Consider the following 13,550-nt stretch of genomic DNA (forward strand, 5'->3'; position numbering starts at 1 on the left):
GGCTCCTCTCAAATGCCGTTTCCTTCATGAGCTATATCTTTGCTCTTTCATAGTAGCTTTTTAAAATAAAATATGAGAGTCTTGATATTAAATGGAAATTGATAAAACTTGTTCCTATATGATGGATTTAATATGAATATTTAAGTACCATTTTTCCACTGCAGAAGTGTTAAAAAATCTTCTCAAGCTTGTATGTCTCAATGTTGTAGAAGCAGCTTAATTTTTATTCCCAGTAAGTCTTTTTTTAAATCAAAGTTTTGGAAGTGAAAGTAGTAAGTCATTGAAGTTCTAGTCAGCACTTTGTAGCATTTGAAGAGGAGGGTGTAAAAGGCTGTGCGAAAAGGCTAGCATCCATTGGTTTGCACCATGTTTCATTTTGGCAATAAAATTTAAAAAAATAAATTTAATAAGAATTTATTGAGTGCCACTATGAGTTAGACACTGTGTTAGATACTGGAATTTAGAAGAAAACACCTCATGTTTTTGCTCCAGTGAGGTCAAGTAAATATTTTTTTTTTTTTTTTTTTTTTTTGAGACGGAGTCTCGCTCTGTCGCCCAGGCTGGAGTGCAGTGGCGGGATCTCGGCTCACTGCAAGCTCCGCCTCCCGGGTTCACGCCATTCTCCCGCCTCAGCCTCCCAAGTAGCTGGGACTACAGGCGCCCGCCACTACGCCCGGCTAATTTTTTGTATTTTTAGTAGAGACGGGGTTTCACCATTTTAGCCGGGATGGTCTCGATCTCCTGACCTCGTGATCCGCCCGCCTCGGCCTCCCAAAGTGCTGGGATTACAGGCGTGAGCCACCGCGCCCGGCCAGTAAATATTTTTAATACTTCAAAATGTTTTATCATAGAAATAGAGAAATTCTTTACACAGATAAACATTCTGATGACCAGGTAAATGTAGAGGTGATAAGAAGTGTAAGTAATGAGGCATTGCTTCATCCTAGCTCTATAGAAGAACCTTAAGGAGAGGAAACTAGGAATGCATGAATTATTAAGGACCTTAGCAATGACAGCGTATAGTAGTAAATAGACAAGAGTAAATGGAAATGACTTGCACAGTTAAGTGTTCTATATTTAAAGGGATGATTCCATATTTGAACAATATAGTCTGCCACTCTGAAAATATTTCTTAATGTGCCGAAACCTCTCTATTTTAGCATGTTACCAAGATTAGAGTTGTGAATGCATATGACACATATCCAGGAAGTTTTGGCCCCCTACTCTGGTTCAGGCACCAGATTTATGGTAAGTAACTTCTGCTATCTTGGTCAGACTTAAGTCATTGAAATTTGCCTTTTGGATGCACAGTCTTACAGTTTCAATGTAAAAAATTACAAAAAAATGGCGTTCTTTATAGGCAGATTATGTAAATGATACATGAGTCAAATTGTGTTCATCAAGTACCACAAGACAGGTGTTGGTGCCCTTTAAACTGTGTCTGTCTTGGGATAATTTTCTCCATACATAGCTGTCCCTGTGGTTGTTTGCCTGTCATAAACAGCCAAGGTGAGGCTGCTTCAGTGGGGCTGGAGGCTTGAGTATAGCAAAGTTTGAGAATCACTGTGCTATAGATGTTGATTTCATAGATAGCCTGTGCCATCCCAGCCGTGCCCAAGTCCTTCTCCAATGCCCTTTCACTGCCTTGGACCTAAAGCCATGAGTACTCATGGTAAATGATTTCAGTTCTAGTAGTTCACTGCAGATTATATACATTTCATCAAGTTAAGTAGTGAGGAATCCTTGCAGTCTAAAAGGGGTGCTGCATGAGCTTACTGTGGAAAATCATCAGGGCCTGGTAAATCATTCAATCCTTTTGGACCACGGAATCCAAGGCTTTCCTTCTCCCTTAACATCAGGAATCCCATCATATCTCATGCTATGTGGAAATTTGCAGACTACTTCAGACCCAAAGAAAGAGGGAAATCTCCCCTGGCTGGTCTTTAAGAGGGCCTTGACATAGATGTACTTAAAGCACATGAACAAAAGCAGAGACACCTAAGATGAATTTTGTAGAGCAAATCCAAAAGAGAGACAACTCTACATTTACTGCTGATGATGGAACCTCTGAATAGCCTTGTTATGTGCCCTTGAATACATTGTGCTGCATATTACAGTCCTCACTGTTGCGACTTCCACTTCACTGGGCAACATGGGTTGTATATGATGGTGGACTAGGGTGTGTGGCTAACACATGCAGTTACTGAGCTGGTATTTTCAAAGTCCAAAACTGTTTTATAACATTGCCTATTTTGCCATTGGCTTGCTCATCAGCTTCAGAAGTAAGCATTTCAAGTAAATGTTGAAAGAGTTTATTATTTGTGTGAAATCTAACAAGGACTGCCAGTGACTGCCTGGTGTTGTTAACCAAAAAAGCCCAATATTCTCAGACAATGCCACCTGTAGTGGCATTTTGTATTTGTCCATTCTCACACTGCTATAATGATACTACTTGAGACTGGGTAATTTATAAACAAGAGAGGTTTTGATTGACTCACAGTTCTGCACGTCTGGGGAGGCCTCAGGAAACTTACAATCATTGCAGAAGGTGAAGGGAAAGCAAGGCACATCTTACATGATGACAGGAGAGAGAGGGCGCAGGGAAAACTGCTGCTTTTAAAACCATCAGATCTCGTGAGAACTTCTTCACTGCCACAAGACGGCATGGGGGAAACCACCCCGATGATCCATGCACCTCCCACTAGGTCCCTCCCACGTCATCCCACGTGGGGATTACAATTGGAGATGAGATTTGGGTGGGGACACAGAGCCAAACCATATCACATCTTTTTTTGATTTCATAGATCCCCTGAAAACCATCATAAAGTGGCTCCTAAAATTCAAGGCCTTAGGCATTTGTCAAAAGAACTTCATGTATGTGATGAGGACAGTTTCTGCTGAATTTTTAAACACAGTTCATGGGACTTCCTATAGTCAGAATGAGTGTCATGCTGAGATCTTTTTTTTTTCTTGAATAAGTTTAGAGCTGGCATGGTAGTTAATGAGAACACTTAAGCATGCACAACAACGCGGGAGTTAATGTCTCTGGCTGACATTATTTCCTACCGCGCTGAATATGGCAGGAATGAAAAATCATGTTTGCTACTTCTACAGAAGGTTTATCAGGGAAGGAAAGTATTATAGGGGAAAAAATCAGATTCCCACTGTGAATTTCTTAAATTAATTTTATAATATATATTGCTCTAATTTGGAATATTTGGAAAGGACTTAAGATGTTGTCTGTGATTCATTGCATGAAGTCCAATGAAGCCATTTTCTGATCATTGTATCCTACCTGCTTGTTAAATCTCAGCTGAAGGACACCTGACACTCTGTAGTCAATTCTCTTTGAGCATGAAGACTTGAAAGAAGAACTTGTCACAAAACACAAGGTCTCTTTCTGTACTGCCTGGTCTCAGTGAGATGCTGTAAATAAAACATAGGTGAACTAAAACACAGGTAGACAGGTCTTTGGAGATGATCTGGAAGAAATATGGATAAACAAAGAATTGCTTCTGGGGAGCCTGGCAGGACACATCACCCCACCTTGTCCTAAGTATAACCCATAAGGAAGTTACTTGTAGTTACACACTAGGTGCAGGGAAGCAATCTCATAGAAGAGATCATGTTTTGGGAACTTACCACATTGCTCTTCCTGCAACCCCTGAGATAAAATGTTTATACAAAACAAAGCAAAAACATGTGTAAACAACTTATAGGATGCATGGTGTGCAGTCAAGGCAAATGTTAACCAGGACTTTATTTTGCTTTAGGTAGTAGAAAAAAGGTATGATTGCAAGGTTCCTGGTCCTTGGAAACTCTAGGTTCTGACTAATGTGTGCTCATATCCATGACAAAAAGTCTCATTTAAGTCTAGAATGCTGCTCTCTAACTCCTCATAGTTCCCAATGTTCTTTTCTAAGCATTCTCTAGTCTGAAAATGTTAAATCTTACAAGATTTATCTCTCCAGTTTTGCTCAAGTTCTTTTTTGAAAACAATCCATTAATTGGTATTTGATTATTCATGAGAGTGCTGCAATCTTAAAGCCATGTGACCCTGTCCACCTCCTTGTCTGTTACAATGGGTATACTTGCTTCTCAGAGTTGTGAGAATTAAATAAGTTAATGTATGCAAAGCTCTTAGATAATATCTGGAACAGAGTGAGTAATCAATAAGTGTTAGGGCAAACCAGGACAAGATAAAGACTATTCAACAATTATATCAAAGGTCCCCAATACATCTAGATTCTCAGTGAAACCCATTAGAATTTGTCTTGCTGTTTTCTAAATTGAAAGGCAGGCATGGTAAAGTATATTTCTCTAAGATCTCTTGCTTAATTTCCTTTAGATCTATCTTGATAGCCACCATAGTTTATTGGTCAAAGCTTCTTTTCATGGCAAGTCACATTGTACTTAACAAAAGTGAGGGGTACAAACTGTTTTTTTGCATCTATGAGTTGTTGGCTTTTTGTGTTCATTATTTGTCAACGAGCAAGGTGAAATAAAGGACACAATACCTAGAGTCATCTCTTGACCTGAAAAAACTACATTGACCTTGACCTTTTACCCCAGTGAAAGACAACTGTGGAATGAACATAAGTGTGGCAAGCCCCCTCCAGGAAGTGGTCTTCCCTGGGTCTTCATGACACCAGAATTGATCATATCAACATAGACAAACCTCCTCCCACCTTCAGGTTCCCTCTAAGCCAGGGAGTGAGAGATTTCTCTCATATTATTTTCCATTGATTGTTTCAGAAGTGATTTGGAGGCCAGGCACGGTGGCTTACGCCTGTAATCCCAGCACTTTGGGAGGCCCACGGGAGTGGATCACTTGAGGTCAGGAGTTCGAGACCAGCCTGGCCAACACAGCAAAACCCTGTTTCTACTAAAAATACAAAAAATTAGCGGGGCATGGTGGCTCGCGCCTGTAATCCCAGCTACTCGGGAGGCTGAGGCAGGAGAATCACTTGAACCCTGGAGGTGGAGGTTGCAGCGAGCCGAGATTGTCCCACTGCACTCCAGCTTGGGCGACAGAGCAAGACGACATCTCAAAACAAAAACAAAAGCAAAAAACAGTGGTTTGGTGAACACTTACCTAGAATTGCAAATTGGGAGTCGATGTAGAGCACTGTGAATTCCTTGGGGCTGAGGTTCACCGAGTAGGCTTGTTTTGAATTTGAATAACGTGGAAATGTCACTCCTGTAAATTCAGGTGGCTTGCTGACTGGCTGGACTTGCCCCTACGTGAGAGAGGAGTCAGCAATACCTGTTAAGGATCTCATTTTCATGGAGGATTTTTGTTTGTTTGTTTAGTGGAGTTCTGTAATTCATTTCCAAAAGCACCCAAATAGTTTAAATTTTTATAAGTTTTGCATGCACCGATCACATCCCTTGAATTGCTAAGTAAGGAAGGCAGGGAGGACTGAAGGGAAATTTTCTTGTGAATACAGTGTCTGTGGCTGGATTAACATTTTTCTGCTCAAATTGCATGTCCTTTTAGCTCCCAGAAGGTCCCAATTAGGCCTGACACAAGCCATCACAATGCCCATGCTCTCTGTAACAACCACATTAAGCTCAGTGGGTGCTGGGTGAGTTTTAAAGTAGGTTTTTCAACTGGTATGGGTGGACAGGTTCCCATCTCACCACCTCCATTCCTTCCCCCAGCCCACTGCATTATATTTCCTCTTACAACATCCTACTTAGGAATATGCTAGCTCCAGACACAGCTGTTGCTTATTTGTCGGCGACTGAATAAGCCTGATCACAGAAGACCATCCTGATGGGATGAGAAGAATCACAGTGAACATCACAGACTTTGTGAAACAAGTCAGAAGTTATGAGAAAATGGCCACTGGAAATTTCACATTTTAAGTGCATCCAAGTATAATTCAAATAGCTCAAATCTGATGAGAGCTCCAAATAGAAGGCTGTAAAGAAAATATCTTTTATTTTTTATTATTTATTTATTTATTTATTTATTTTGAAATGGAGTTTCACTCTTTCACCCAAGCTGGAGTGAGGTGGCACGATCTCGGTTCACTGCAACCTCCTCCTCCTGGGTTCAAGCGATTCTCCTGCCTCAGCCTCCTGAGCAGCTGGGATTACAGGCACCCACCGCTACGACCAGCTAATTTTTGTACTTGTAGTAGAGACAGGGTTTCATTATGTTGGCCAGGCTGGTCTCAAACTCATGACCTCAGGTGATCCACCCGCCTGGGCCTCCCAAAGTGCTGGGATTACAGGCATGAGCCACCGCGCCTGGCCAAAAAGAAAATAATACTATTCATGAAGACATTGGGTTGCCTACATGGTACCAGAAATATTCTTGCTCCACTGATATCCCCCTTCTGGATATTTGTTATTTTGCCATTTGGGATGTGCACAGAAATGCATATAAACACACAGAACAATCCAATTGCTAAGATTCTCCACCATGGATTCTTCACAAATCAAGATAAACTTCTCATTTCTTCATTTATTTTTACAATCCTTTACTGAACTCTTATTAAATGGCAGACTGTTCTGGTTCCTGGGGATACAGCTCTCTCTCATTCTCTCTCTCTCTGTACTTACTTACTTAATTTATTTATGTATTTATTTTACTAAATTAAGAGGGTATATAACTGAACAAGCTCTCATGATGCCTCCCTTTTAATGTAGGAGGGACAAATAATTTAAAAAGTAAACAAGAAAATAGCAGGTGGTGATAAATGCAGAACAATGACAATAATCAGTGTGATGTCTTAGAGAGCCCCTAGGGGCCATTTTTGGCAGGGTGGTCAAAAAAGGCTTCTCCAAAAAGGGGATTTCAGCTGAAGCTTTCGTGATAAGAAGGAGCATGCTTTCTGAGCACGTGGGCTTACCAGGTAAAAAGGGCAGCTAGTGCGAAAGCCCTGTGGTAGGAATAAGCTTTGGCAAATACAAGGAATTAGAAGAAGGTCAATGTACCAGAAGCACAGTCGTTAAGGTGGACAGTAAGGAATGGAATATGAGACAGTCAGACAAATCCTAAGAAGGCAGGGCCTTCATAGGCCAGGCGAAGAGTTCAGATTGTACTTTAAGTGTTACAGAAAGCCATTGGAGGGTTTCAAGCAGGGGAGTGACATGACCTGACTCACATTTTAAAATAATTACTTTGGCCTCTCTTTGGAGAACAGAAGGTAAGGGGTAAATGTGGAAGCAGGAAGGCCAAGTAGGAGGCGAGTACAGTATTTTACACGAGACTCGATAAAATCTGGACTGTGGTTGTAGCAGTGGAGATAGAAAAATGTAAAAGAAAAAAGAATTAAGACACATTTTTGAGGCAATACTAATATTCTACCTTACAATCTACCGCCTCCTTACTCTGCCAAATCTCACACATACAGCATGCATTCATTTATGCTGTCCATTAACGATAGTTTATTGTACACTTACTATGTGCCAGATGTAGAGCCAGGTCATGGTATCACACCAAAAGATAGAAGTCAGCTCAGTCTCCAACAAATAATTTTGCTTAGTCATCAATACCAGACCTCATCCTAAGTAACCAGTTCTGAATAAGATATTATTTTATATTAAAGTTTCACCAAGAAGGCATTTAAAAAATGCAATATTAAAACTGAAAGCCAGAAGAATTCTACCTGTTAGTTTAATTTTTCTGCTTATAATAAGCAATAATTCCACATAATTCTATTAGCTAGTTTCATGTCATTAATATCCTCTCACCCATCTTCACAGTCAATTGGAAGATCAACTAGAAGAGCTTCTTCAAATGCCTGCTAGAAGAATTGTTTCTATTTTCAGTTTTCGTGACCTGCTATGCTGGGGAGATTGAATGAGATACTCAAGTACCTTGCTTTTTAGACTGGAATCTTTAATACATGGTACTATCACCCATAGTGATGCCTCATTTTTTTAGGTGACTCTCTGCCCCCTTTTTTTAGGTGACTCTTTTCAGCACCTAATCTTGGTTCTGGTAAGTAGGTTGAGAAGCTAATCCTTCAGTCCTAAATTGAATTTGCAAATTGTCAATGAGAAGCACAGTGTTCTTCAAACAAAAACAGACAATACTAGGCTTAGGGTTTTTTAAAAAAACTTCAAGTCAGGTATAACATAACAACCTTTCCAGATATTAGAAAGGCTGTCTCAAATTTCTTTATAAGCTCTTTGAAGAATTAGCAATGACCATTTCCTTTCCATTTTATAAGCTAAACCTTTTCACTTTCTATTACTTTCTTTTTTTAATGTGTTTTACAAGAGTCCTTTCTATTATTTTCCACTTTCATCATCTATAATATGATGCTTTCTTGACTCAAAATTATCCAACTTCCTGTGGTTAATATGGACAAAATTCTGTAAATTGTGCACGTTATTGACTTGTAGCACTCAGTGAAGAGAGCAAACCAACTGTACCACCTGGCCAATATGCAACTCCCCTGTCCTCTGCCCTGACACTTTAGTGCAGCCCTAGCCAGGACAGGCCCCAGCCCAAGAGTCCTCAGTAGTTACCCAAGGCTCTTCTGGGAATCCACTGGATAAATGTGTATCATTGGTTTTTCTCTGGCTTCCCTATATAATTGATAAACATAGTAGTGTTATTTCTAATTCACCATTTACAGAAAAATAATTGCAATATTTTAGGCTGTGTGATATAAAAACATATTATTGACAATTGATTAAATGGTGTATTTGTGTCTTGTTCTATTAAAAAATTAAGAGTAGGTTCTTAGTTAGAAAAGTAGTCCCCTATGACTTTGAGTCTCAAATGTATTATTTAACTGGTAGAGCAACTGAAAATCATAACATAAGATATGATGAAATATTCAGATATCAAATTTAAATTAATTTAGTACTGATTGAGATCCTATTTTCTCATTCTCTACATAATGAGAATAGAGAAGGTTTAAGAAAAAATGAGGGTTAAGTTTTAGTGGAGAGAATTTCAGTAATTAATTTAATTTTCTTCCTAAAAATTTGGAAAAGGCTATTGTCATTAAGTGTTAATACTGAAGTAGTGACGCTCTATGGTCTCAAATGGGAACAGAGCTCCAAATTCACGATCCTGTTACAACATTGTTTATATGCAGAAATCAATTAAATTTATATCGTTTACATTCAGGGGCTGTTAAGCTGCCACAATGCTGAGAATTGCCTGTAGTAAAATGTCTGTAGCATGAGAGAGCCACATTTAAGGAAAGAAATCAGTTTTACTACATACATCATGCTCTGTCCTAATGAATTTCAAACACATTGAGGAATTGGACTAGATGCCCTCAGTAGTCCCTTTTAGCCCTGAAATTTTGTGATTTCATATTAAATGTCTTTGGTCACCGGATAACCTTGCATATTGAAAAATGTTGCACATTTTGATAAGCCCAGGGTGCAAGAGTTCTTTCTGTAAGCAGCCTTAGAGAATTGTTGTTGAATTCTTCGGAAAAGTAAGTCTCTAGAAAAATCTAACGTCTGAAAATAAAAGCAGATTAGAGAGAGGTGAGCAGCAGAAATTTACACACCAGAATGCTAAGAAAACATTGCAGAAAAGTTCTTTTTAATCTTCTGATAATTGCAAAGCAAGTAGGTCACTAGTTGAGATAGAAACATCTTTTTCAAAGCTTCCTTTTCCAGCCAGGAAAATGTAGAAATGTGTCAGGGATCAAATATATTTGCAGAATATTTACTATGGAAACTTGTAGACTTTGATATTTTAAAATGCAACTGCAATAACAGGTACTTTATAATCATTCAAATGAATTATGAACATGTTTCTAAGCAGAGGCCCTGCCAGGCCTGATTTTTATGGGTACTGGGACCCTCAATTATTGCTGCAGAAAAAACTTGGCATTGGTGTCTGAAAGACTTGGTTTTGGATTTGGGCATTTTGCTACTTAACTAGCTATGCAAGTTACTAGCTTAGGCACGTTAACTTAAGTTTTCTGTGACTTTACCGACTGTAATAATATAATAGCTACCGCATAGTTGAGGATGAAAGAAATAATATGTGAGAAAATACTTAAATACAAGTTTCCTTTCTCTTTCCTCTCATCTGCCATCACTGCTTCTCACCAATGGCCACACTCAGGAGAAAACACAGGCACTAGTGCCCTTCGAAAGAATTTGTACTCTTACCATCCTTTTATATTTTTTTGTTGACTCCTCTAATGTACAGCAAGTGAGTACCATATCAAATAAAAGAAAATTAAGTTAGTAAAATTCTGAATTAACATTATGCTCCATGTGCTTTTCCCAAATTTGTCAAGCTCTTTCAAGATGCGGTCATACTGGAACACTCGCTTATCTTCCTTCCAAGGAATTCAGCACTCTTTCACATTGATTTAAAGGGTCAGGTGTGGTGGCTCACATCTGTAATCCCAGCACTTTGGGAGGCTGAGGCGGGCGATCACCTGAGCTCAGTAGTTTGACCAGCCTGGCCAACATGGCAAAAGCCCCTCTCTACTAAAAAATACAAAAATTAGCTGGGTGTGGTGACACACGCCTCTAATCCGAGCTATTTGGAAGGCTGAGGTGGGAGAACCACTTGAGCCCAGGAGGCCAAGGCTGCAGTGAATCAAGATTGTGCCACTGCACTCCAGCATGGGCAATACAGTGAGCCCCTGTCTCAAATAAAATAAAATAAAATAAAATAAAAAATAACGTTTGCATAACAGTCCTAAGAGATGCACTGATGGGCAAAAGGGCTAGTTGTATGAAGCAACATTGGAGGAGCTGCAGCGTTGGTTTCCTGTACCCACAGCCTGTCTTTACCATGTCCGTGCCCACACTTTGCATGGCACCCTTTCCCTCCTTCACAGCTCTGCCTTTCAAACAAAACTTTATAATAGTACCGCCTTTTTCCTGAGGTGCATGGCAGAATAAAAGCTTTGTCTCTATTACAGTATTTTTAGATATCCCAAAGCTGGCCATGTTGAGGTGAGGGAGAAAGAGCAGAACTGAGGGGAGCAGGGTCAGCATGTGCCTCTTGCTGCAGCTGCCAGCTTCTCTCCATCCTGCCTTTTTCTGCTGTGAAATGGTGCCTTGGCATGTGGCTGTGTCTTCATACCCATCTGAGCTCTTCAGAGGCCCATCATTCTCAACCATCCTCTCCGGCTGACAAGTCCTGCCATCCATAATTTTTCAACTATCCTTTAAAAGAAGACTGGGCAACATAGCAAGACCCTGCCTCTACCAGCTGCCTGTAGTCCTAGCTACTCAGGAGGCTGAAACGGGAAGATCTCTTGAGTCCAGGAGTTCGAGGCTGCAGGGAGCCATGATCACACTACTGCACTCCTGCCTTAGCAACACAGCAAGACCTTGTCTCTAAAAAAATAAAGCAAAAGGGATCACGTGCTAGACAGCTTGCAATTTGGTTATTAGGAAAATAAAAACTTGTGATTTCAAATGCATACTTGATTTTCTTCAAAATGTAATTTTGATTTGATAAACTTACTATGTAATGCTTCACTTACATTGCTTTGTTTTCACACAGAAAATGGGATATATTGTATGTAACATAATATATATTCACACACAGAGAGTGAAAGAGAGTGCACATACCTTTGTCCCCTCAGTGCACACATAAAAGTGAGTATTTATAATCTGAGCTAGCACGAGATTTAATGAATATGAGCAGACCACTACTTGACGCATGCCATTTTCTTTGTAATGTCAATCATTTTTGCCTTTATTTAAAAAGTTAGGTTAATGTTTGAGATTAATGAGCACTTGAAATGTTTCACTTAAAACCAATAGACTGTGGAAGTAGATGAATTAAATAATACTATGTAACCTATTCAGGTTGCTGAATGATTTATGATTGATATATAAATAGTGTCAGAACATTTGCATTTAAATCTAGAAGTGTTATTCCTATGATTAACACATTGAAACAAATGTTTTGGTGGCCATAGTTCATTTTAATATTTTAATTACATATATAAAATATGAATCAGGAAAGGAAATTATTTTAAGTGTGGTCAGGAAAAACAATGCATGAAAAAAGACGGCATACACAAAATTATTTTGAAGTTCCTCAAAGGCAGATGTTATTATTATACTGACATTATCATTATTATTATAATGACATAGCAATGACCATTTCAATGATGTTATCAGATTATCGCCTGAAATATAGTTATGTCAGCTATTCTCACATTTATTGGTAAAACATCTCTGAGCTCATGTACATCAGGCAGTTTATTCCAATATGAATTATTATAACATTCTCATTTTTTCTCATGTGGAATTTTAAAACTCCTTGTAATCGCTTCAAAGTCTGAAGTCTATAGGCCTGAGTTAATTTGCATGCTAGGTGCAATTTATTTCTAACAGAAACTATCCTATAATAATCAGACATCTTATGACATCTGATAAAAAATTTACGTTTTCAAACAAAGTGGGGTTGGTGGTTTATAAGCCCTAAAATAAAAGTGAATCCCTTAAATCTTGAATTTTCAATCTAAATTTGAATGGGTTCAGACTCTTGCTAGAAGCAATTACTGAAAACTCATTTCCTTGGTCACCTCCTCACTCCCACCCCCAACCTCCTTTGCAATATAGAGTTAAAATTTAACCCTCTGGACAAATGTGAGAATTAACTAGTTCGCTCTGTCAAAGCCCACCTGGTTACTATTGACGAAGGAAGCGGCTGGCTGGCAGTTCCTGCCTCATGATCCCAAACACCAGGTAGTTTTCAATCTCTTTCACCAATAGAATTACCTTTGATCCTCACAATAACCCCCCAGTGAAGGCGGCAGGGATTATCATCTCCACACAGAAATGAATGAAGGGAGGGTCAAGTTACAGTTTATCAATGGCACAGAGCATTAAATCAAGAACAAAGACGCTCCCCGTGATTATATCGGCACATATATTTGAATATGTTTCAGACTGTCGCTTAGTTATTAATTAAGAGACTGTTTAAATTATCCCACCTCCACACTTAGATCCGTTGCTTGTTTGCCCTTCCTAAGACTGTGGAGATGGAGATTTAATCAAAAGACCTTAGGATGAGCGCCTTGTCAGAGCACAAACATTTTGAAATCCCGATGAAAATGCAGTTTAATGCATCCAGTTAAATTGCCTGAGAGGAAATAGTGAATACAGCTTTCTTAAAGCCTTTTCCCTCAGGCCATTAACTAAGAAACTGGTCACTAACTGCTGGTAACAACCCGTTTTGGAGGGATTATTGCTATTATTGGCATCTGTGGTTTATGGCAACATTTTGTTAAAGACATTAGAAACGATAGTGCAGCTGGACTTGATATTTCAGAGAAATCAGTCCTTTCCCTTGTGGTTAATGGCCATTTTTTTCTTCCAATCTAAGTGTACCGAGGCTGAGCTGCACTGCTGAGTTTATTATCTGCTGCATTTCTTGTTGCTCTAAGAAAGATGCTTTACACTGGAGTCAGCATTCAAATCAATGGAGCAAAAATATAACATTTATTGTTAGTAAAATTGAATCATGCTGAAAAAGGCTGAACGAATGCTTGACTTAAACTGGATGTTAGAAATCATTTCACTTGCCATGAGCACTTTGCAGCTGACACACAGCCACATGCTATTTTCTTCCAGTG

The 13,550-nt window shown here is 39.2% G+C and overlaps 1 long non-coding RNA gene across 1 annotated transcript in view; it reads right to left on the reverse strand.

The window, feature by feature from the left end:
- Positions 1-13,550, reverse strand: part of LOC105377475 (uncharacterized) — a 37,313-nt gene that overhangs the window by 15,246 nt on the left and 8,517 nt on the right. The window contains exons 3-4 of the long non-coding RNA XR_939315.3: positions 5,096-5,240; positions 3,296-3,426 (exon numbers count right to left, since the gene is read on the reverse strand). This is a non-coding gene — a long non-coding RNA (uncharacterized LOC105377475). The remainder of the gene's footprint in view (positions 1-3,295; positions 3,427-5,095; positions 5,241-13,550) is intronic.

The sequence above is a fragment of the Homo sapiens genome, chromosome 4 (genome assembly GCF_000001405.40).
Source record: "Homo sapiens chromosome 4, GRCh38.p14 Primary Assembly".
In the NCBI taxonomy this organism is placed as follows: domain Eukaryota; kingdom Metazoa; phylum Chordata; class Mammalia; order Primates; family Hominidae; genus Homo; species Homo sapiens.